This window comes from Homo sapiens, chromosome 6 (assembly GCF_000001405.40).
Source record: "Homo sapiens chromosome 6, GRCh38.p14 Primary Assembly".
NCBI lineage: Eukaryota > Metazoa > Chordata > Mammalia > Primates > Hominidae > Homo > Homo sapiens.
The window spans coordinates 12,946,889-12,972,567 of NC_000006.12; the positions used below are offsets into that span (position 1 = coordinate 12,946,889).

A 25,679-nucleotide genomic window follows, 5' to 3' on the forward strand; every position below is an offset into this window, starting at 1 on the left:
TGCAACCTCCACCTCCCCGGTCCAAGCAATTCTCCTGCCTCAGCCTCCTAAGTAGATGGGATTAAAGGCACCCACCACCACGGCTGACTAATTTTTGTATTTTTAGTAGAGATGGGGTTTCACCATGTTGGTCAGCCTGGTCTCAAACTCCTGATGTCGTGATCCACCCGCCTCGGCCTCCGAAAGTGCTGGGATTACAGGCGTGAGGTATGCCCGGCCGATGGTGCTGGATTTTTAGTGGAGGTCCCCTAGATCATTAATATAATTTTGTAACATTCCAACTTCTAGATTAAAAAAAGGAATACCCATAAATTACCACGTGGCAAGCCAAGTTCTTTCTGCTAGATGCTTACTATGCCTCTTTCTACTGCACTGTTGAGACAGGATGGTCTGCATAACCCAGCACTTTATCTGGCTTCCCAAGTATAACCTGAAGAAACATAACTATTCTGCTTTTTTTTTTTTTTTCTGTGATGACAACAGTTGCCTCATGATTTTCACATCAGTTAATGTAGAGGGAAGTGGTTTACTGCAGAGGGTTCAATGAGAAATAAAGAAGACATGGGAAAAACATCTGAAAAAACAACATTCTTATTTTTGAATGGATGATGAATTAGTGACTTGGGAGGAAAAAACTAAATCAAAAGTAGTGAGACTTTAAGGAAATATTTAGAACATTTCTTTGAAAGCATAAATGTGGGAGCCAGACGCTCCTGGGTTTGCATCCTGACTCTAGTGGCTATAAATTATATGACCTTTGGGGAAAGAAATGGTAGATCTTGCCAGGGGCTGTGGTAAGCAGTAGACTTCCGTGAATTATTTAATCCTCACAATCACCCTAAGGAAAAGTGAGGCTCAGAAAGGTCTAAACAATTTAAATACGTAGTAAGTGACAGAGTCAGATTCAAACCCAGGGTCATTTGATGACAAAGCAGTTATTTTCCACCAGTCTGAAAACTTTATGAGGCAGAAATCACTTCTGCTTTCTTCACATTTGTATATCCTACAGATCCATAGCAGGCTGTTAATAACTATTTGTTGAATGGACGAATTAATATATAAATGAATAAGTGAATGAACAAGTAATCTATAATGTTATTTCCAATAGACTTTATCTTTTTCAACCCTAATGTTCTCCTCTGTTGGCTCATTGTAGTTGCGCCATGAACCTTTCCATATCCCTAAAGGAAAGGCCAAGCTGATTGGCAACAGACTTAGGAGCTGGATGGTTCTGCATCATTAGTCAAAACAGACTTCCTGTTCTAGGGTAATCTGGCCAGTAGGTGATGCTGACTGAGACAGTTGAAAACACCTAGTGTCAAGTCATGGCTGGGTGTTGGTAAGCTGTACAGAGCCCCTGAGATTATTTGGATTGTTTGAAACAATCATGATCATGACATTAACATAAAAGCTGAGAAATATAGTTGGGTTGAAGGGAAAATGTCTCAGTGGAAGGAAAGGTGATTAAATAAAGAAAGAGGTATATCCCAGCCAGCTCTAAGGCCTTAAGAGCAAAACCCATCATGGTGACTAGGATAGGGTTGTTGGTGGTGGTCATGGTGGTGATGCAGATGATAACAGTAAACTATAAGATGTATGCCTTCTCTGTGCCAGTTATGATGCTAAGTATTTAACACAAACCACATTTATCTTGACAATAATCCTATGATATAGGCTTTATTTTTATCCCCCTTCAAGACTTGTGAACTCGTCAAAGGTCACACAGTTAAAGTAATAATGGTCAAGATTTAAACCCTGACCCTGCCCGATTCCGGTACCTAAGCTTTGAACCCCATGTTATTTTCCTCTAGGAAGAGGTAATTGAGGCCATATTTATCTTTCAATTAGGTTTTTTTATGTGTTCATCATCTACATTTCATTCACATGCACTTACTCAAAGTTGCTCTCACATTCTGAAGTATTTGAATATTTGACAATTTAGTGATATATTAAATTTTACTTCCAAGCATTTATAGCTGTTTTTCTTTGTTTGTGTGGAAAGTCATAAGAGCACTTCAAAATAAATTTTTATAACAGACATGCTTGAAGGTCAGATCAAGGAATCCTTGTGACATTGGGGTACAAAGAAATAGAAAAATGGGCCAGGCGCAATGGCTCACGCCTGTAATCCCAGCACTTTTGGAGGCCGAGGCGGGCAGATCACCTGAAGTCAGGAGTGAGAAGCCAGTCTGACCAACATGGAGAAAACCCATATCTACTAAAAATACAAAATTAGCCTGGTGTAGCAGTGCATGCCTGTAATCCCAGCTACTTGGGAGACTGAGGCAGGAGAATCACTTGAACCCAGGAGGCGGAGATTGTGGTGACCCAGATCATGCCATTGCACTGCAGCCTGGGCAACAAGAGCGAAACGTCATCTCAAAAAAAAAAAAAAAAAAGAAAGAAAGAAAAGGAAAAAAAAGAAAAATGGTCCACATTCTCCAGAAATTTTCACCACAGTGGAGATACAACCTATGTCAATGAAACACCTAGGAAAGCCCAGTAAATAGTAACTCAAGGGCAACATCTTCCAGCACAGACACCACTCTCTTAGCATAAGTGCTCATTGGGAGGGAAGACTAAGTAAATGACCCAAATCCACTGTGTTTGTTTGGGGAGCTTCCTGGAGGAGGTGAGTCTCTGGAGGCAACTGTGGTATAGACATACATTGGCCAAAAAGGCATGGGAGTTGGAGAGGATATTCCAACCAGGAAGGGGGTCTGAATATAGTGCTATAGTGGTTTATTTAAAATAAATTTAAAGAATATATAAACCCTGATATAAAACACTTTGAAAACTGTTAAGTATTAACGTCCTTTTAAATCAAAAATGGTTTGGTAACTTTAAGATTTAGTATAAAAGTAAACAGCTTCTGTGGTTTGAAAAAAAATCACGAATCAATCTGGATCAATGGTGGGATTTTCTCATACCACTACACACACACAATTACACAGTGCTCTGAGGAAGAGAAGGATTAGATTACTACTTGAAAATGGAGTTTCTCATCCCCACGGCTGATAGAATGACTAAGAGGCCAAGCCTTATATACACCCCTGCCGTCTCACACCTAATGCTCCAATCCTGGGCTGCTTAGGATTTTTATTAAGTAGCTACTGGAGTGTCCCAAGTCTCTTTCACTGCATAACAAATCACCCCAGCATTTAGCTGTTTAAAACAATAATCATTTTGATAATTTCTCATCTTTCTGTGAGCCAGGATTTGGGAGGACTCACCTGAGTGGTTCTTGTTTCAGTCTCTCATGAGGTTGCAGTTCAGGCAGCAACTGTTGAAGGGTGGGGCTGGAGCATCTGGGAACTCTCTGGTCCCTCCATGCAGGCTAAGTTGGGCTTCCTCATAGCATGGCGGCCTCAAAGCAGTTAACTGCTTACCTGTCATCTGAAGGCTTCAAAAGCAAGGATCCCAACTAATTGGAGAGAAGCTACATTGCCTTTTATGATGGCATCTCTGCAGTCCCACAGAATTACTTCTACCATACTGTGTGTAAGCAAGTTCCCAGCCTACTCAGATTCAGAGAGAGAGGAATTAGATTCCACCACTTGATGGTGGAGTGGTAGGATTCTAGAAGACCACATAGGATTGGAGATATGATTGTGTTCATCTTTGGAAAATGCAATCTGCAACTTAGAGGTTTTCCGGGAGAAGGGAGGAGGAGAGGCACACACATGTGGTACTCACCATTTGCTGGAGAGCTCATTTAATTTCCCCCAAATAACTGTACAAAAGGGGCATTGTTGTCCTTCTCCGTTTTATACATGAGAAAAAGGAGGCTAAGAAACCAACCTGGCTAGGATCATTCAGCTCCAGCTCTGCCCTAGGCCCCTGACAGGTGCTTTACAAACATCACCTTAGAACTTCCCCCCAGTTTACGAAACAGAGGCTAACTCACCTGGCCCCAGTGAGCAAGTGGCAGAACTAGAATTCCATCCCAGGCCTCTTCCTACTGCAGTTGCTACCTTGTAACACCTCATTCATTTGCGCCATTACCTAGGCCTCTGAGTTCTTGTATCTTTCCGGGGTCTTGGTCCTATTTGGGCACAAGTCATGACACAAATTCCACATGGTGCCTTGGAGAGAATTAGACGGACCAACAAAAGGGCCTGATCCTGCAGGAAACTGCCTTTTTCTGTTGCTCTCCCTAAGTAAAGCTGTCATATAGATTTTGTGCTGAGCTGGCCAAAAAGCAATTTGAAAAATGGCTTCCGAGATTGGCAGTGGCATTGACTTGGCAGGGAGGAAGGTAATAACTGCTCTGTTATAGATTATGCTGGAGGCCTCTGATCTCATTCCTGTCAGGCCCTGCCTTCATTCTGGGAAGCTCTATGTGAAACTGTCCGCTTTGCTCAGAACAAGAATCCTTTGACCTCATACCTTTCTTGTTTATCGTATTGCAGACCTTCCAAGGGAGAGCAGAAACAGGCTAGTCTAAGTTTAGCAACGTGGTGAGCTTAATATGGCCTTGGCAAAAAGATCTCCATACAAAGACCCTTAGTTAGTCAGCCAGGGATAGCAAGGAGACAAAATAAACTCATTTTTAAGATAATAAAAGAAAAGGGGGGAGTTATAATCTGCAATATCCTCATTCCCTTTTTACAGATGAGGAAACTGAGGCTCTCAGAGGGTAAAGTACTTTGCCCAGCAGAGACAGCTCTGCCCTGTGCAATGTGTTGTAAAGCCAGGCAGTGATGGCCAAGGGCTGACCCTTGGAGCACACAGAGCAAAAAGCCTCTTCCTGGATCAAGTCCCTGAGGGAGTTAGGCTTTTTCAGAAATCAGCTTCTCCTTTAGCCCTGAGCCTGGCCTCCTAGCACCATGGCCTGTGCAAGTCTGAGGCTATCCCAGGCTCCAGAGCCTCCAGAAACCCCTTTGGTAATAGTTTTCTGTTGACATTGAGGCTATGATGCTGTTTAAGTAGGTGAAAATACGTATTTATTATGTGAAGCACCCGGTGTATTTTCTATTCATTTCATTTCAACAAGAGTTTGTTAAACCTTTAGTACATGCACTGCTGTTTATGTAGTGGCATTATGGAAACAAAACGCAGAAAGCAATGAATACTCGAGTAACTGACAACCCAGTGAAAAACAATTGGTGCATTGCACTCGAGCCAGTGAGCACAGCCCTGGGCACCCGTGAGCAAGACGTTCTCTGGTCCCTTCATATTTTAAAAAAACAGGCATGTGCTTTAGAGCAGTTTTAGGTTCACAGCAAAGTTGAGAAGAAGGAACAGAGATTTCTCATATACCTCCTACCCTACGAGTGCACAGCCTCCCTGTGGATAGCCCCCAGCAGAGTGATCCCTTGGTTACAATTGATGAACCTACATCATCATCACCCAGAGTCCACAGCCTGCATTAGGGTTCACTCTTGGTGCTGAACATTCTGTGGGTTTGGATAAATGTTTAATGACATGTTCTCACCACTGTAGTATCATCTGAGCAGAGTAGTTTCCCTGCCCTAAAAATCCTCTGTGCTCCACTCATTCATCACTCCCTCCCCCAACCCCGATCTTTTCATTGTCTCCATAGTGTTTACCTTTTCCAGAATATCATGTAGTCAGACTCAAACAGTGTGTGGCCTTTCCAGGCTGGCTCTTTTCCATGGAGGCATTAAGATTTCCTTCATGTCTTTTCACGGCTTGAGAGCTCATTTGCTTTCAATGCTAAATAATACTCTATTGTCCAGATGTACCAGTTTATTTATGCATACGCCTCCTGAAGGACATCTTGATTGCTTCCAACTTTTGGCAATTATGCATAAAGCCGCTATCCTTGTGCAGATTTTTGTGTGGACATGAAGTTTTCAACTCCTTTGTGTAGATACCAAGGAACAGGATGTCTGGATCATATGATAATATGTTTAGTTTTGTAAGAAATTTCCAAATTGTCTTCCAAAGTGTCTGTACCATTTTGAGTCCCCACCAGCAATAAATGAGGGTTCCTTCCTGTCCTTGCCAGCATTGGATGGTTGGTCTGTCCATTTTTTAAAGCACCAATAAACTGAATTATGGTAGAAACTACTAGAGAGCCAAAAATAGTGCCAAAAATGACTCTGAGAAAAAGGCTGAATGTCAGGTCCTGTGACATCCACATGGCAGTGTGCCCCTTGTGCCCTTACTCAAAGCTACAATATTCTTGCCGGGCGTGGTGGCTCATGCCTGTAATCTCAGCACTTTGGGAGGCTGAGGCATGTGGATCACCTGAGGTCAGGAGTCAGAGACTAGCCTGGCCAATGTGGTGAAACCCCGTCTCTACAAAAAACATAAAAATTAGCCGGGCTTGGTGGCTGGCACCTGTAATCCCAGCTACTTGAGAGGCTGCGGCAGGAGAATCTCTTGAACCTGGAAGGTGAAGATTGCAGTGAGCCGAGATCGCGGCACTGCACTCCAGCCTGGGCAACAGAGCCAGACTCCATCTCAAAAATAAATAAATACATAAAAATAAAATCAAAGCTACAATATTCTCATTCTACACAAAATGCTAGTAAGCTAGTTTTCTATTTTCCCAGCCCACTAAAATTTGGAAGCTTTAAAGAGTCAGAGACACTAAAAATATAAAACAAAAATACATGCCTTAGCCTGTTTGCAAATAAGTTAACAAATATGTAACCCTGTGTACTTTGGAGACACAACTACACATCAACTTGTCTAAACAGGTGTTTATAAGAATGACCTAAAAACACTGGCTGAAAGAATGAAACTGTATTCAAGATGCCACAGCTATTAGAAATTGGGGATATTATAAGTCCCTGCCTTACAGATTTTTGGTTAGAATTAAATGAAATCTGTGTAAAATGCTTAGCACAGTGTTTGATACCTAGTAAGTGCTGATCATATTGGCTGCTGTGTAATGACGAGAATGATGATGGTGGTAACGATAATACACCAAGGGATTAGAGAGTCAGAAGGAGGAGTAGAAAGGAAGAGTATTGTAATTCCTCAGACATTTATTGAAATACTCTTATGTCCCAAGGTGAATTCATAGGTAAATGACACACATAATTCCTATTCTTGGAAAGGTCCTTGTATAGCATATTATAAGATTATAGTTGAATGTGATAAAAGTTATAATACATTGACTAATAAAAGCGGCGTGATGACATAGGTGAGGAAACTGTTAATTTTGACTACAAGATTAGGAAAAACTACAGGAAACAGTTGAGCTGGGCTTGAAAGATTTCGCTATTTGGTAAGGGATAGGCATTTCAAGGAAGAACATTCCAGGCAGACGAAACAGACTTTAAACAAAGGCAGGGAGACCGAGAAGCCATGACACAGTTAAGCATGTAGACTAGGGTAAATTCAAAGACTGTGCAGCAAAGAGCTGAGCTGGAAATGCTCCCAGGGCCACTTTATGATTGCCTAGCATATCACTGCAAGGAGTGTGGATTCCATTTGAAAGGCAGTAGGATGCTATTAAAAGTTTTAAGCTGAGAAGCTATATGATTAAATGTCTGCTTTGACACATGCTCACACTGAAGGCAGGGTAGAAACTGAACTCAAGTGGTCAGAAAGTGGAGTCAGGAGGGCCAGGCAGGGGTGCTCGTGATAGTTTGGGTACTGGCTGAGGCCCTGCCACTTGAGAAAAGGTGACAGGTAGACTTGATAAGATTGAGGGGTCTATTAGGAGGGCTAGGGGAAATGGGCAGAGAGAGAGGATGTGTAGAAAGTAGAGTCAAGTCAAGATAAGACTTTGGGAGCCTGAGCTTGGGCAACTGGGGCAACACAAGGAAAGAACTTTTTACAAACCTGAGATTGATGTTTTAATGTTCATGATCCTCTAGTGGCAAGAAAGAAGTTGAATCTTTAATACTATTTCAATTCCAGGCTTATTTGATGTTTTATTGTTCCACCCAAGAGATTACCACTTGAATTATGCCATAGGGCTAGAACCAAATTAATATAATTTATTTTTCTAAAATGTGCAAGTAGGGATAGACAAATTTGTTCCCCTAAAATAAATTCTAACCTCAAAATGGCCATATATAATCCAGGGCTTGGCCATCTAATGTGATAACCACTAACCACATGTGGCTACTGGGCACTTGAAATGTGGCTAGTCTTATTTGAGATGTGATGAGGGTATAAAACACTTACCAATATTCAGATATTCAGTATGAAAAGAATACATAATATTTCATTAATTTTTATATTGATTACATATTGAAATAATGTTTTGGGTATATGGGATTAAATAAGATATATTACAAAAATAATTTCCCTTAAAAAATTTTAATATGACTACTAGAAAATTGAAAATTACATCTATGGCTCACATTGTATTTCCTCTTTTTTTTTTTTTTTTTTTTGAGAGAGATAGCATCTTGCTTTGTTGCCCAGGCTGGAGTGCAGTAGTACAGTCGTGGCTCACCGTAGCTTTGACCTCCTGGGCTCAAGGGATCCTCCCACCTCAACCTCCCCAGTAGCTGGAATTACAGGTGCACACAACCAGCTAATTTTTTAATTTTAAAAAAAATTTTTTATAGCAACGGGGTCTTGCTATGTTGCCCAGACTGGTCTCAAACTCCTATTCTCGCCTGGCCTCCCAAAGCACTGGGATTACAGGATTGAGCCACCATGCCTGGCCCCACATTATATTTCTATTGAACAGTGCTGGTCTAAGAAATTTGAGATTTGCAGTGCCAGTATTTAAGGACTATGTACAGGCCAAGGGTATATTTTTTATTACTGCATCCTCCTCCCATTACTGATGAATGTCTCACCACCTGATGTTTTCTAACACCTTCCTATGTGTCTTTATTCTTATTAAGAAAGAAGTTACTGTAGCAACGGCCACAATAGCTTGTATTTACTACACCTGGAGGGAGAGACATAAACAGACATCAATCTGTCATTCAGGTTTTCAGGTTTACACATTAATATTTTTCTCATGTCTATCTGGGTTTTCCTCTGCAAAGCGGAACACCAAGAGTAGGAGACCCGTCTTCTAACTCCCGCCTATGACACTGGCTTCTCTGGGTCTCCATAAGAACAGTCATTACCCCATGCTGACCTCAGGGGGGTATGTGGATAGATAGTTACAAAGTGTTTTGAAAGTGATTCTTAGGGTACTGTATCTGTCTAATGTCACATATTTTAACATGAAAATAGTATCTAACATTACTTACAATAGTGGAGGAAGGCAGGAGGGAGAAAGTAGTTTCCTCTGGTGATTATGGGCTGGGAAGATCCAGGAGAGAGAAAAGGAGTGAGACTAGAAAAACCCATACAAGGCTGACCAACATTAGCATTTGTTCTCATCAACATAAATAGTTCTTTTCCTGTATTCAGCAACAAGCCTCCGCTGGCTGGGAGAAGATTGGGAGCCGAGAGCTATGCAGATAGTTCATCTGCGCTTTGACATGGAAAAAGCAAATGGGCTGGAGTGTTTTTTAACTTGATCGTCGTATTGTGTGATGCTTTAGGTGTTACCCTCATTGATTGCCACTTAAGTTCCACTCATGGGTCGATTCTGTTTGAACATGCTTGCTCCTTAGTGGGTATCATCTGGACAGAGATAACAGATGCTAAGACAGGGACTGGGGGCATTGAGGAATTATTACTATTACCTTCACCTAGGACAGGCGTGGCTTCAAAATGTCTATCTAGAGTGGCCTGAGGGGTTGCAATATGGTTGAAAGTGGAGACTGGGAGCTTGCCCTTTCAGAAATGTTTGCCTAGCAAAGCAAGATGTTGTCCCTTGGGCATTATGCTTATTTGAGGTGGCTGGAGAGGGTTTATGAGGATCGAGGTCAGGGCAGGGGTTTTGGCTCAAGACCCCTCAACCCAAGCCACCCCTTTGGCATTTCACGGAAATGTGGCAAAAAATAATAGAAGATTCTCGGTTTTAGGTTTTATTTGCACATGTTTTATAAATCTACCTGAAGCTTTTCAACTGACGACGCACTTGATCATTTGAAAATCCATTCAGCGCCTTATCCCACCTACAGAGAACCATCCTAAAAGAAAATCAGGAAAGCTGCTACCGTCCCATCCTGAGAAATTCCCACTCACTCCTCATGGGCATTTGGGAGGTCCTCTACTCAAGAATTGAACCGAAGGGAACTAAAGTGCATTGCAAAAATGCAGTCCTTCCAGGGAAGGTTCAAGGAAAGTTAATTGTCATTGTGTCGCGTTTTGAGGTCTTCCTCCCTCTTCCCTTCCTAGGGGGCGGGGTGGGGTGGATGATGCTGGGGGGTGGGGGAAAGGGGAGGCAAGTGTGGTTTTCCGATCAGCGATCTAATAGCAGTTAGAATTATATAATGGAACTGCCCTGAGTCAGGTGACGGGATCACTGAGTAATTCCCTGCAGAAGGAGACAAACTGCATGTTAAAAAGCTCAACAAATACTCAAAAAAAAAAAAAAAAAAAAGCCCAGGCTGTGAGTTCCAGACTTCCAAGCTGCATTTCCTCTGAATCCTCTCCAGGCTGAAACAGCTGTACAGGCTTGCTGAGTCAGAAGACTCCCAGAGATTGGGGACGGCCGAGGCAGGTCGGGGGTCTGGTTTGGATCCCCGGGTTACTTTCTGTTTCATTTTGAAATGTTCCCTGTTTCTGCAACCGGTTGCCTCCAATGTCAAGTAAAACGCAGGACTCCTTGGAGACGCCAGCTGGGCTTCTAAGGACTGGGGCTCTGTGAAGGTAAGAGGCAGTCTGTGCCCCACCGGCTGGAGGCTGCCACTTTAGAGACGTCTGAGTACCCGCAGGTCACACCCAGGAGGGGTTGGTGTGCCTGCCAACTGTTCTGGGCTCTGAGTGAGGCTGGAGAGACCATCGTGGAGGCGGTTTTAGGTTAGAAAAGGGATAAAATGGACCCTTCATGCCAGATGGGTGGCCACCTAGTCCACGGTGAGTTGAATCCATCCCCCGACTTTGGTTGACACCCTCCCCTTCTCCATTCCATCCCACGTGGGAGCTGGTCAGCGGCCAGGGAATTGGCACGGCCGGGAAGGAAGGCGAAGGGGCTGCCTGGCACCGAGAGGCTGCATGGGCGTGTGTAGCATGTGTATTTTCAGAGCCCGACACTTGAGGAGACTGTTGCTCAATTTAAGAAAGCACAGCTATTGGAAAGCCAGGAAACAGACCCAGAGAGGCGGATGCATGTGGGAGCAAAGAGCTTTGGGCAGCCTTTAAGGTAGGCATTGGCGTCTGAAATCATGTTATTGCCTTTTGTTTATTTGTTAGATGGATTTTGTATTGGTTTTATGCTTTGTTCGGTTTAGAGAATTTTCCTTTGATGGAGCTGCCAATATCAATAGATTTGGTTTTGAAATCCTCGGGCCGGGTTCATAGGATAGGCTGGAGCCCACGGTGTTAGTGTAGATGCCTCAAAGTCAGAAGAGATGGATACAAAACTGGTGATGATTTTCAAAGGAGATTCACTTGCAAATCTCACTGCAATGGAGACTTGCTGGGAGTCCTGGTGCCTGCTGAGGCAGGCAGCTCTTAGGAACCTCAGGAAGTTTCTGACTTAAAGAGACAGGAAAGGAAAAATTGAATCCGCAGCTGTTATTTTGGGGAAAGTGGGTTCAGGGAGAATTTGTGGCTGAAGAAAAAGGAAAGACGACTTGGAAAATAAACGGAAACATAAGGGATAGGCTTGGTGGGATTCCAGCTTGGGGCAGTGGCATTTTGAGGCTTGCTGCGTGGAGATAGAAATCAATACGGGAACTGATAACAGCTCACTCAGCATGAATAAGAAATGCTACATGGATTCTTTTAACACTGACTTCTAAAGAGCCTGAGAAATAAACAAGATGTTAGTTTGAAAGAGTTCATTTCTAATTGTTATTTCTTTTTTATTGTTTGGCCCCATGAGCTGCTCTAAACAAAATATGGTGATGTTAGAACCAAAAGGAAAGTGTCCTTAGAATAATATCTACAAAGAGGCATTCAAGTTTTCACTGCCTTTCCTTCTTTTTCTGCCCTTCTCTCAGTTTGGGCAAATTATATGAGTTGAATGTATCTGATAGAAACAACTCTTTAAAGAGGGGTCGGGCACGGTGGCTCACGCCTATAATCCCAGCACTGTGGGAGACCAAGGCAGGTGGATCACTTGAGGTCAGGAGTTCAAGACCAGCCTGGCCAACATGGTGAAACCCTGTCTCTACTAAAAATACAAAAATTAGCTGGGTGTGGTGGCACACACCTGTAGTCCCAGCTACTGGGGAGCCTGTGGCATGAGAATAGCTTGAACCCAGGAGGCGGAGGCTGCAGTGAGCCCAGATCTCACCACTGCCCTCTTGCCTGGGTGATAGAGTGAGACTTTATCTCAAAAAAAAAAAAAAAAAAAGAAAAGAAAAAAAAAAGAAAAGAAAACAGAAACAACTCTTTAAAGTGGTACAATTATCTTTTAAGAGGATATTTGTATATCGGAATTAAAAAATGATCTTAAATCTGTGGTTCTTAAATCTTCAAAACCATGGTCCATATTTGGGAAGCAAAAAGACTGTGGATCATGAATTTTTAGTCTTTTCTCTACTGTGGCCCTATCACTCCCATCTCTTCTGATGCTCAACAAACAAAACTAAACAACAAAGCTAAAAAAGCATAACAAAGTTTTTCACTAAAGCCCACACTTGAAATGTAGATGCTATAGTATTACAAATATTCATAATATAAAAGAACAGCTCATAGAGCCCCTTTTTAAGGCCATGGCAGTCCCTCGAGAAAACACTGCTTAAATAATTAATATCAGCAGAGTGAGTTCCTTTTATCTGGATTTCCATCTGTTGAAACTTGCTGGAAACCTACCTTTCTACACTTCAATAATATCATGAGGACTGAGATTCATGAGGATGACCTCCAGGTACTACAAGGCTCTTTAGTGCCTCCCAAATCACAGAAGATAACAAGATGCTCAAAATAGTTTTGGTTTTGAGTGCATTGCCTTCCACTCTAATTCTCTAAAATTTGCTCCTCTGCATAGATCATGGTGCCCACATTTTCTATATCAAGGACCAGGACTTGTGATCTTACAGAGGACTTTTATGTTGCTTTCAGTGTGAGAAACAGTCTGAGAAATGCAGTTTGGATGCCAGGTTTTGTTCATTTCTGGGATAGTCCAACATTTATGGGACAACTGGTGAAATAGGACAGATTTTGAAAATTCAGTCTTTATGGAAATCAAGGTGCTTTGATTAAAAGCTTCAGTTTTTTTTAGTTCGGTTGACTGAGGTTTGCATTCCAATTCTGCTACCTTTTCAGTGAGTGACATTGAGAAAGTTTGTTGATCTTTCTAAGGCTCAGTTTCCTCATCCATAAAATTGGAGAGTAACATTGCTTTACCTCACAGGCTGTATGGGAAGTAAATTATATAGAACATCGCGTAGTGCTGTGCCTGGCACACTTAGTGCCTGAAAAAGTACTTGCTATTATTGTTGTTATCATTTATGGTGTCTAGTGACCACAAAGTACTTGAAACACCAGGTCACTTTTTCCCTTGAATGTGCCAGTGAGTAAAGAATATGTGTGAAACTTTAGCTCACATTTGTGCTCCTACAAATATTTTGGAATTAATTCAATAACACTTGTATTTCTCTAGATGAGAAGGCACGAGTGTCTGCGTGTTTTGGACAGAAGGGTCAATTGAACTGGTTTAAGCCACAGAGGGCATCAGTGGCAGCACCAGATAAACAACATTTGTCCCCAGACTCCCTGCACTCTACCACTGGGTCACAGCGACCCCACACCAGGGAGGGTCCAACAAGGACAAAGTAGCCCTTGTCTCCGGACAGCCCCAAACACCTTCTAATGGATGTAGTGGGTTTGATTTTTCCTGCCTCAGCCATGCTATAAGTTGTGATTCTGCCCTTTTCTCATCCTGAATCTGATGGGCTCAGGGATCCTGTAGGCTTTTACCCGACTTGGAAAATTCCCGCAGATGGGCTATAGTGATCCATGACTATACAATTCCAAGCCTCCACTAGGGACAACACAGAATCTACTACCCTTAAATGGCCCCTTAATGACTGTGTTTGTATTTTCTTTTTGCAGTCTCCTAACATGGGGATTTAATGCCTCTCATAAAGCAAACTCCTGATCGTATACTGTAAAGTCCAAAGACAGTAGCATAATTACTCTAAAGGGTAAAGATGCCAAAGGCCCTTAAGTTTGGCATTCCATGAGTATTCAGCTTCCTACAAAGTTCAGGATCCACAGTTGCAGGGAAAGGGTTTCCTAAAAGGTTCTCTAGGTATAGGTTGAGCTTCTTAGGAAACTAACTGGATAAAAAAATCTCTCCTGGAACTTGTCCTAAAGAAGGCAGAGTGAAAAATAGTGTAGGGTGTCTTCTAAGAAATCCATGACAAAGATAACACAAATGTCTAAAATTAAGAGAAACAAAAAAAAGTAATCCAACAGAATACAGAAAGATGAGAAACAAGTTTCAAAAACAATTGAGATGGAAAAACACCCAAACTTGGGTATATTCTAATGCTAGGGAAAAAGAAGAAGGAGTGGAATGTTGGAGAAGCAGCAGGGAAAGCGGTATTGAAAGACTTGGTTATAAATTCATGTGCCCTGGGTAAATCATGCCATTGAGTCAGTTTCTTCACTTAGAAAATAGTAAAAATAATTCCTACCCTACTGTCAGGTTATTGAAGAGCAACATATGATATCCTGTGTCCAAACTGAAAGGAAGACAAGAACCTAAAGTACAAACTTGTGTTGATAACTATTTGGGATTAAAGAAATTGACCTCCCAAAGAAGGAATATGTGTGTTACTGAAAACCAGGATTTTCTTATAGATAGTAATGAAGAAAATCACCTTGGATAGTCCATAGCTGATGTATTGGTTGGCTAAGGCTGCCATAACAAAATACTACTGGGTAGCTTAAACAATAGAAATTTATTTTCTCACAGTTTTGGAGGCTGGAGGTCCAAGACTGAGGTACTGGTAAGGTTGATTTTTCCTGAGGTCTTGCTCCTTGGCTTGTAGATGGCCACGTTCTCACCTCATCCTCCCACATAGTTGTCCCTTAGTCTGTGGGTGTCTGTGCCTTAGTCTCCTTCTCTTTTTTTGTTGTTTTTGTTTTTGGTTTTGAGTCAGGATCTGTCTCTGTCACCCGGGTTTGGGTGCAGTGGTGTGATCTCAGCTCTCTGCAGCCTTGATCTCCTGGGCTCAAGTGAACCTCCCACCTCAGCCTTCTGTGTAGCTGGGACCACAGGGGTATGACACCACCTTAGCTAATTTCTTTATTTTTTAATTTTTTGTAGTGACAGAGTCTCGCTACGTTATCCAGGCTGGTCTCATACTCCTGGGCTCAAGTGATCTCACTCCTTGGCCTCCCAAAATGCTGGGTTGAGCCACTGTGCCTGGCCCTAATCTCTTCTATAAAGACACCAGTCATATTGGATTATCCCTCACCCTTATGACCCCATTTAACCTTAATCATCTCTTTCAAGGCCCTTTCTCCAAATAGAGTCACATTCTGAGGTCACATACTAGGGGTCAGGGCCTCAACATATGAATTTAGGAGGGAGCACAATTTGGCCCCCAACAGCTATCAAGTTAATGAAGAAAACTCATTAAAAATGCATTCTTCTTGTTTTAGGAATTGATCAGATCCATTAGGGAACATGGTACAGCCTTAGAAGAAAATGGTATCACCAAACTGCTGTGAGGAGACTCCAGGAAAGGCAGCCTGGTAGACCTGGGCCAAGCTTCCAGAGAAGCTTGACTCTCTAGAGTATATTAATCTCAAGGGAAAGGGAGGACCTTGTTTTATTGACTTCCACCTGGGCATTCTGTCAAAGCACTGGTAGATTGTACCTAACAAGTTTTGCAGCTCTGTGGTGACAGCTGTTCTTGGAGAATGGATTTAACATAGTTTTGAATTAGATGTTCCTTTGAGGTCAAAAGGATTACGGCATGTCTCTGGATAATTTCCCACTTCCTTTCACTGTTTCATCACTTACAGGAAGATTGATCCTGTCATCCAGGTTCCTGCCATGTTCTGCAGAATCAAGCATGGCCTTCTCCATTTCTTCAGTCAGTCCCCAGCTCTCCCTGTCTCCATTCAGCATGAACAGTGATATTCAAGGATATGGTTACTTGAAATACACACACCTCAGCACATGCATGCACACACACACACATACACATTGATTTATATATTTTTGAAACAGAATTGGTCAGTAGAGAGGAAGAGGATTTGCAAGGGGTATTTACAAGTCACTTCCTTTCTAAATGTTGGATCTCAGAATTCAGAGAAAGAGACAGGAAGTCCAGCTCATAGCTGAGGTATTCTCACAAATATGGGAAGTGCAGAGGAACTGACGCTTCTTCCAAATTAACAGACTTGAAAAGGCATGGACGAAAAAGTAATAACAAGAGTAGAGCAGGTGATTTGCAGGCGCCCACAGATGAGGGTGAGCCTGCTCACTGCTTCCTCTTCCCCTCCACAGCTGCACCGTTACCGGGACCATTTGCACACTTTGGTAAGGCATAGACCAGTTCCCTGGTAGCAGCCTGGATCCTCCATTCAAACAGGAAAATGCAACATAAAGGGGGAAATCATTCAGGCAAGACATGTACTTTGATTTTCTTTAAAAAAAAAAAACAAACCAACTGACGATGGTGAAAAAAATATATTAGGAGGAACAAAGGAGCACACATTTAGTAACTTGTAAAACACCCTGCCATGTCTTTCTTCATTAAAAATACAGTATGCCTCCAGTGCCCAAGAAGGATTTGTTCCCTGGGAGTTATGATCCGGGCGTTTTGATTCCCACCTCCTGATTCTCACAAACAGGAACATACTCAATCATGAGTAGACAGACTTACCCTCTACCAGGCTCCATTTCAGAGGCAGAGAAGCAACAGGTTAGTGTACAAAATTAGTTTGCCCAAGCTTCAAGCTATTTGGATGCAGTGAACTCGCCAAGTGTGAAGTGCTCTTGTTGTTATTAGAATGAGGCTGTTGAAAGACCCTGTGATGTAATTCAGAGTATGTTGGCACCTGTATTATTTAGCTCTGATTTCAAGGTTCATAACTTGCCCAAAAAAGGGCCTGGAGGCTGAAAATGTTTAGGACAAACGTTCAGAAACAAGTCACCAGACTTTAAGAAAACTAGTTAATATTGGCTCCCTTTGGCTTTAGTATAAATTACGAACTCTCTTTTTAATTTAAAGTTGGTTTGTTCATATGTAGAATTTCTCAAGTAAAAAAAAATGTGTTTTTATAAATATCATGTCTTTTTCAGTAAAGCAAAGCCAACTACCTTGTGAGTATTTTTGTTATTGTATTTAATCAGTAAGCATTTATTATCTACTGTTCTAAAGACAAGGTATTGTGCAAAGAGTTCCGCAGTATATGAGAAAAGGAATCAAAGCTACTCATACCTATTCAGGGAAATAAAACATGTACATAAAATTTTAACAAAATATAGAAAATGACAGCTTCCATGAGAACAGAAAAAAAAGATTATTGAGGATGATAAGAGGGAGATATTAATTCTGGCTAGAAAAGGCTTTAGAGATGTTTTTAACCTAAGAGTCTTGAGAGCTGAATAGGTATATTTTAATACAGGAGAATGGGGAACAGAAAGAGGGAGGCAGGAGACATTTTCAGCAAAGGAAGGAAAGTAAGTGGAATGCCAATTCACAGGGGAAGGCACGCCTGGAGTGTACATGAGGCATGGTGGCCAGGCCAGTTTTGTTGAACGAGAGGGTAGAGAGAAAGGGACCGATGGTAGATGCATTGAAAAGAATTTGAATACCAAGCCCAGAAGTGACATGGTCAGAGTTTAATCTATGTGTTAGGTGGAGTGAATGGAAGTTGATGGGGGCACCATCAGTTACAAATGCAACTGCAGCAGTGGAGAACATAATGGTAATAAATAATAATGATAATAAATAATAATAATAGCTCTCACTTGTTAATTGCCTAGCAGTTACTTCTTAGATTATGTCCTTTAATCTGCACAGCAAGCCTGCATGGTAGGTACAAATACAGCTGTTCCTCATTTTTCCAAGATCTGTTTAGGTACAAACACAGTCTTTCCTTGATATCCATAGGGAACCACAGTGCAGGTTCCTGGACACCTCCACTCTGTCCCGCAGTCCCACTACCCCCGCCATGCTCAAGTTCCTGATAGAAAATAGTGTCCGTAGTATTTGCATATAATCTATGTACATCCTCACACACAGTTTAAATCATCTCTAGCTTACGTATAATACCTAATAGAATGTAAATGCTATGTAAATAGTTGTTATACTGTATTGTTTATTACATTTGTGTTATTTTTACTGCTGTATTGTGATTTTTTATTTTTTCCTCACATTTTGAACCCCCCCATGGATTGAACAGAGGGCTGGCTGTACAGTCAATCCTCATTTTTCTTGGAGTCTGCTTTTGCAAAATTTGCCTACTCACTAGAATGTATTTGTAACCCCAAAAATCAGTCCTTGTGGCGTTTTCACAGCCATTCACAGACATGTGCAGAGCAGCGAAAATTTGAGCTGAGATGGAACAAAGTGAGGCTCTGCCTCCCTGTTTGAGCTCTCATCCTGTTGATGTGTCTTTTTCACAGTCTATTTTGTGCCTTTTTTTTTTTTTTTTTGCATTTTGGTGCTTTTTGTTGGTGGTTTTGCTGTTTAGAATGGCCCCAAGCGTCATGCTGAAGTGCGATGCAGTGCTTCTAACTTCAGGGAAGCTGTGACGAGCTTTATGGAGAACATACAGTGAGCGTGGCTCAGGCATGAGTGATAGTGCTGTTGGCCGTGTGGCTTCAATGTTGATGAATCAACGGTATGTGTTAAATCCGGCATGGTTCAACAGAAACAAACAGAAAACCAAAGGTACGTACAGGTGGGCTGAAGAAAACGTGCTCACGGAGACGTCACCTTGCATTTCCTCCAGTAACAATGTTTCAGTATTCACTACTTCAGTGTTCACAGTGACTTTATGAGACAAAACTGCCATAAATAGTGAGACTCTGTTAGTTATTTCCTTCCCACAGAAAAGTAAACTGAGGCTTGGAGAAATAAGAAACTTGTCGGAAGCTGCACAGCTAGCATGAACTCAGACTGGAATGTCATAAATGGCACACATTTCTAAAGACATTAAAGGGCCCGGACATGGCGGTGGCAAGGAATGGAAGAGAGGAGGCAAAGTATAAATGATTGAGGGAGTAGAATCAATAGGCTTTGACCACTGACTGCACAAGTGGAGGGCTACGAGGAGGAAGGGGTGCAGGAGGACCCTGAAGTCAGGTGAAGGTGATGGAAGGTTGAGTCTGGAGGGCCTGAGAGTCAAGGTTGCAGGGAGGGTAGGAAGCAGCTCCAGCAGCAAGTAAGGACTCAGGCTGGGGGCAGACGGGCCAGCTGTTACTTCCTGAGCACTCACTGTGTTCTAAATGCTGCTGAGAGACTCTTGCTAAATGATGTCATTGAATCCTCACGACCCTATAAGAGAGAAAGAGGGACTATTATACCCATGTTACAGATGAGGACAGTGAGGCTCAAAGAAGTAAAGTAACTTGTCCCTGGACATCCTGCTGATAAAGCACAGAACAGGGAATGCAAACCCAGGCAAGGGGACCCTGGCTGGTTGTGATCACAGTGAGACATTTTGGAGTTTCAGATCTTGGAGGAAGAGAAGCACTAATGTTAATGATACCTGACCTTGTTCTCTAGTTTCTTGTTTTTATTTTTACTTTTTCCAACATTCTCCTTACACCACATATTTTTCTACCTTCATGTTTTTGTTCAAATTCTTTTCTCCCACAGGAAGGTTGTTCTTCTCTTCTGGCCTTTAGGTTTTCTTGTTTTGTTTTGTTGATATTGCAAAAGGGTGGTTAAAATGATTTGGTAGCTGAAAAAATTGGACATTTTATTTGTGTTATGTTATATTGTGCTGTTTAGTAAAAATATGTGAAATTTCAGTGTTTCCTAGAATATAATATATATTACTGAGAAGTGACTCTTGCATTTCACATTAATGGAGCTACAGGTGACTTACAGATGTGCTCGTGAACAGAGGAGAAGCATGCTTATGCTATTTTTCCACTAGATTTGGATAAGCTGGAATAAAAAGATATGGTCCTCATTTTACATTTCATCTCTGATATGAATTATCTCTGAACCTTTTTAAAGACCTGAAGTCTCTCTTTATGTTTCCCAAATTTGTATTGCTGAGAATTATTTGCCCATGTTCCTGAGATATTACAAAATTAAAAAATCCTCAATACTTAAGTATTAAGGGCTGTTCCCACAGCCCTTTTAGTACTGTTCTTATGGATAAAAGTGTTTCCAAATACAGCAAATGTTTCATCTTCATATATTAAAAAATGTGGACAATACATAAAACTCTTATCAGAATATTGGGCTCCTTCCTTGTTTCTCAAATGGCCCTCCAAGATGTCCAAGGAGGTGAGCATTCTTTCTGACCACATGGAAGGTGCTCTCTCCAGAGCTGTGGCACTCCATTAAAACAACTCTGCCCACAGAGTTCAAATGCTGAGGGTTGCAAGAAGAAAAGTAAGCTTGAATCTTTGTAGGTAAGTGGAAAAGAGTTCTCCTACAAGGGAGTCTCTATTCTTTGAAATAACCCAAATCTGAAACCCTTCATTTATAAATTAAAGAAGAAACCTGCTGAACTACACTGAAACCAGGGAGAGAGAGAAAAGCAATGTTGCTGGCAACTGTGCTATATACTCAGTCAACTGTAACTCTTAGGTGAGTAAATCCTGCATGTGTGTAGAGATCTGGTAGTGTAGAAACAAAGGCTATGACAAAGAAACCTAAGAAATCTTTGATCTCTTCTTAAACTTCCATTCCCTAGAAATGGAACTGGGAAAAGTGAAGCCGCATTTGATTCCACAAACACTTGCAACCATCTTTCAAGTATCCTGGACGGAATCAAGTCCAAAGTGTGCTTTGCCAAACCCAAGGGAAATTCACTCCATATGTTTCTGATTCATGTATAGTTTAATCATCAAAATATTGTTTTGCAAGGACTAGTTTTGTCCAAGAAAGCTTTTATGAGCCATTTGAAAACACTATCTTGAAAACAGGAAGTTCCGTTTTGCCAAGAGCTAACAGACGCCTGAGCAGAGGCTCTGGATTTGGTTGTCGGGGCAGAAGCCCTGGATACCGAGATTTCCAACATGGCAGAGCTGGCTTTATAATTCCTTCGGGGAGTCTGTGTTATGTGCCCTCTCCACTCACCAGAATTATAGAACTCTTTCAGGGAAAAGAACCCAAGGGAAGGGTGATCACGGGCTTCCATGATTTCCACTCAAACTCATTGCCCTTCATGGAATCGCATGCCCGCTTCCCCCCACATTCCATTTGCTAAATGATGGTTCAGAGATAACTTCTCTACTGAAATCATGTTGGCATTGTAGCCGTTAAAAGCCTAAGGTAGAATTTCACAAATGAGCTTGGAAAACAGCAGCTTCAAAGGAGCTATTGACTCCAGGAAAAGGAAAAGCAAAATTCTCTTTCTTCCTGAGTTTCTTTAATTTTTTTTCATGGCAAAATATGCATAACATGAAATTTAGCATCGTGACTATATTTAGGTCTTCAGGCTTGTGGCATAAAGTACATTCACAGTATTGTGCAACCATCACCACCATCCGTGCCTCTCCAGAACTCTTCATTTGCAAGAGTGAAACATTTGCCCGTTAAACAATAACTTTTCATTCACCCTCCCCTCAGCCCCTTGAAAACATCATTCTACTTTCTGTCTGAATTAAGGAGTAACTAAATTCATCTGGTGATGTGAGCTTTTTTTGTCACTAAAATGCGAAAGGACTTTTGTTGTGTGGATTCTTGTTCAAGGGATATTGGATATATAGTAGGAAAATGTCTTTGATGATTTGATGAGAATTGTATAATTGACACAAATGGACTCCACTGATCCCCAGGCAAATCATGAAACTAGAGTTCAATGAAGGCATTTCACCAGGGAGTTCTGCTGCTGTGCTGCTTTTTGATGATCTGATAGTAAAAATGTATAGAATCTTCTTTTAAAAAAGAAAGAAAGAAAGAAAGTGGTTATCAAACTTTCAAATGCATTAGAATCTCCCGGGGATTCTGTTAATCCACAGATTCTGACTCAGCAGGTCTGAAGTGGGGCTCAAGATATTACATTTCTAACAACCTCCCAGGTGATGGTAATGCTGCTAGTCCATGCACCACACTTGGAGAAACAAGGTTCTAGAAGAGTGGTTCATGACCCTCGACAGCCTTTTAAAAATTCTAACTCAGATATTCTGGGTGGGACTTGGGCATAGGTATTTTTAAAGTACCTCAAGCAATCCTAATGTATAGCTAGCACTGAGAAGCTCTGACCTGGAGAAATTGAGCTAATATTTTTAGTCTGCCTCTCTTAAAATCAGATATCTTATCTGAGTCGCTGAGTATTGGATTGCAGGGAATTCATACTTGACTTCTCTAGTAAAAGCCTTAAGTGGCTATTTCTGTGTTCCTGATAAAAGAAAGAGCCAAATGCTTTAGATTCCAAATACACTAACTACAGAGTTGACATTCAGCTATGAAAATCTAGCAACCTGTCTTGTATTTTCACCCCTGCCGAGGGTATTCCTAGGCCTGATATGGTGACTCATGCTTGTAATCCCAGCATTTCAGGAGGCCAAGGTAGGAGGATCACTCGAGTCCAGGAGTTTGAGACCAGCCCAGGCAATGTGGTGAAACCCCAGCTCTACCAAAAATATATGCTTAAATACTTAGACACATAATTGAGAACTCAGAATCTTGCACCAAAAAAATATCAGGAGAAAATATTATCTTAAAAATGTTAAGAACAGGACAGGTGCAGTGGCTCACGCCTGTAATCCCAGCACGTGGGGAGGCCAATACAGGCGGATCACTTGAGGTCAGGAATTGGAGACCAGCCTGGCCAACATGGTGAAACCCCATCTCTACTAAAAATACAAAAAATTAGCTGGGCATGGTGGCACGCGCCTATAATCCCAGCTACTCAGGAGGCTGAGGCAGGAGAATTGCTTGAACCCAGGAGGTGGAGGTTGCAGTGAGCCGAGATCATGCCACTGCACTCCAGCCTGGGTGATAGAGTGAGACTCCATCTTAAAACAAAAAACAAAAAACAAAACAAAAACCACAAATGTTGAGAACAAATGTTACAATCCACTTGTCTCTAGCATAAAATAAATGTAGTATTGCTTCTGCGAACATCTGATTCTGCTTTTAACTGCGTCCTGATGGATCTTCTTGGATGAGTCACCTGCAAAGTGCACCTCTAAGAAGCTGAATGTGCTGTCTGTGGTTGGGGTAATTAAATACTGTGGACTTAAACATTAGAGAATGCCTGCCAAAGACAATTATGTCAGTTTAGCTTAATTGAGACTAAACTTCTCTTCCTCACAATAATTAGCCAACAGGAGCAGTTATTTTTAAGGCCACTCCTAATTTCTGATAATAAAACTATGGCAACATAGAAAAGAATGTGTCCCTGTTTATTCTGGCAGATGGATGCAGACCCAATTTAGCTAATAAACATATCAACTTATTTAAATATTAAACCCAAAGGGAGAAGACTTCAGTGCACAGCAGTATTTTAGAATTTAAATCTAATCCACCAAAAAGCCATTCTTGGCCCGGCGTAGTGGCTCACGCCTGTAATCCCAGCACGTTGTGAGGCCGAGGCAGAAGGTCAGGAGATCGAGATCATCCTGGCCAACATGAAACCCTGTGTCTACTAAAAATACAAAAATTAGCCAGGCGTGGTGGTGTGTGCCTGTAGTCCCAGCTACTCAGAAGGCTGAGGCACGAGCATCGTTTGAACGCGGGCAGCAGAGGTGGCAGTGAGCCGAAATCTCACCACTGCACTCCAGCCTGGGCAACAGAGCAAGACTCTGTCTCAAACAAACAAGCAAACAAACAAAAAGCCATTTTTATTTACCCCATCTTTTTTGCCAGCAGTATTATGATGACAGGCTCTAATTAAACATTACAATTAATTAAAAATTAGAATGAAAGATGTTGATGCCATATAAACATTTCCCATTTTATGCCGTGGGTAGCTCATGTGCATGAACCAAAGGCTGACCAAAAACAATCATCATTGCCAATGTCTTCTTAACCATTTTCTCCATAAGCTGAAACTGGGTAGTAGTGATAAGTAGTAGAATGATCATTAATAGAATAGACATGGCCAGGATAGTCATGAAGTGTTTCCTGTTATTCATTGCAATACCCTGTTTTGAGACCTTGCGTGCTCTGACCTGGCCCTTTGAGTTAATGTAACCCACTCATGTCCCAGGGCTGAGCAGCACAAACCAGCTAGGGCTGGAAGAAACAAATCAGGGTCCCTCTTGTTTGTTTCTTCTCTGATTCCATCTTCACCCAACACTAGCCGTAGGGTTAGTCTTTCTTTCTTGGCCTCTTTGCACCATCTTTCTTGGGCTCTTTGCACATCATACTTAGCTGTCTTCTTTGATACCTGAAGGATGCAAAGGTTGTTCCAGGCAAAGGCACATGCACATAGATAGGGCTGAAGGCAGAAGGGTGGGAACTGTGAAAACTCAAACGACTAAAAGTAATTACAGTTTTGCTGTCCTATCACTGAGGGATGGGAAATTGGTAAGGTAAGCCTGGAAAGGTAAATATGACCCAGGACAAAAGTCTGCATATTGTATGAGTCCATGTATACGAAATGTCCAAAAAGACAAATCCACAGGGACAGAACATGGATGAGTAGTTACTGAGGGGTAGGATGGGAATAAAGAATGGTGGTAAATCACCACTCTATTCCTTTTTAGGATGATGGAACTGTTCTAAAATTAGACTGTAGTGATGGCAATTCTGCACTATGCATAATACAATTTTGCAAATATGCTAAAAAATACCCATGAAATTATTGTGAATCACATACAGGTGAATTTTATGATATGTAAATTATGTCTTAATAAGCTGTTAAAATACAAAAAGCATTTCACAAACCCTGCTAAGGAGTTTTGTTGTTATCCCAGTTGAGGCAGGAAGGTATTAATGATGCAGATACAAGCCTTTACATTTTAGAAAGCTCCCTGGGGTATTATACACAGCCCCTGCTATGTAAGGTTGGGGTGAGAGGAAGAGAACTGACTTCTGTTGAGCACCTACTGTATAAGAAACACTGTGTAGAGACTCGTTACGCAAATTATTTCATTTAAACTTCACAACAACCTACCGATACCTTTTACTATATCTGGATGGTTTGTTGCCATTGCAGTAGGTTTGTGATTCTATTGGATGTGATATAGTATAAACAACTACTGCTTTACCTGTGAGGTAATTAGGACTCAGAGAGGTAAATAGCCCAGAGGCACGCAGACCAGACGGGAAGTGGCAGAACCAGGATTGGAACTCAGGGGATGTCTCATCTAAAGCTTTGCTCTTTCTACTCCACTCTGCCGCCTTGAAATTGGGTGAATTCACGTGCATAGCATGAGGTTGAACTGTTTGGTAGATTGCCCAGCATTAATTCCTACACATACCCCTTGTGTTAGTTTTCTGTTGCTGTTATAATAAATTACCACAAATTTAGTGGCCTAAAGCAACACTAGATTTATTCACAGTTCTGGAGGTCAGAAGACCAAAATCAATCTCACTGGAATTAAGTCAAGGTATAGGCATAGCTGGATCATCCTGGAGGCTCTAGAAGAGAATCCATTTCTGTGTCTTTTTCAGCTT

General features: G+C 41.7%; 1 protein-coding gene and 1 long non-coding RNA gene across 17 annotated transcripts in view, besides 1 other annotated feature; one reads left to right on the top strand and one right to left on the bottom strand.

Moving 5' to 3' along the window:
• Nucleotides 1-25,679, top strand: part of PHACTR1 (phosphatase and actin regulator 1) — a 571,071-nt gene that overhangs the window by 230,122 nt on the left and 315,270 nt on the right. For 2 of the 16 annotated variants that reach the window (NM_001322313.2, NM_001322312.3), the window contains exon 1: nucleotides 10,419-11,149. The exons of 12 other annotated variants lie outside the window; for them this stretch is intronic. The gene's annotated coding sequence lies outside the window, so the exon portion shown is untranslated. Of the gene's footprint in view, nucleotides 1-10,418; nucleotides 11,150-25,679 lie in introns of those variants that run through there. 2 more of the 16 variants (NM_001322311.2, NM_001374583.2) reach the window with 2 other exon arrangements.
• Nucleotides 8,883-9,674: an enhancer, noted in NCBI's record as "OCT4-NANOG hESC enhancer chr6:12956003-12956794 (GRCh37/hg19 assembly coordinates)". NCBI's record gives its function as "activates a minimal SCP1, AML or CMV promoter by ChIP-STARR-seq in naive H9 embryonic stem cells {active_cell/tissue: H9 hESC(naive)}" and the evidence as "EXISTENCE:reporter gene assay evidence [ECO:0000049][PMID:30033119]".
• Nucleotides 11,922-16,890, bottom strand: LOC124901262 (uncharacterized). The gene is made up of 2 exons (XR_007059459.1): nucleotides 16,803-16,890; nucleotides 11,922-16,025 (listed from the first exon to the last, which is right to left on the bottom strand). It is a non-coding gene; the product is annotated as an uncharacterized LOC124901262 (long non-coding RNA).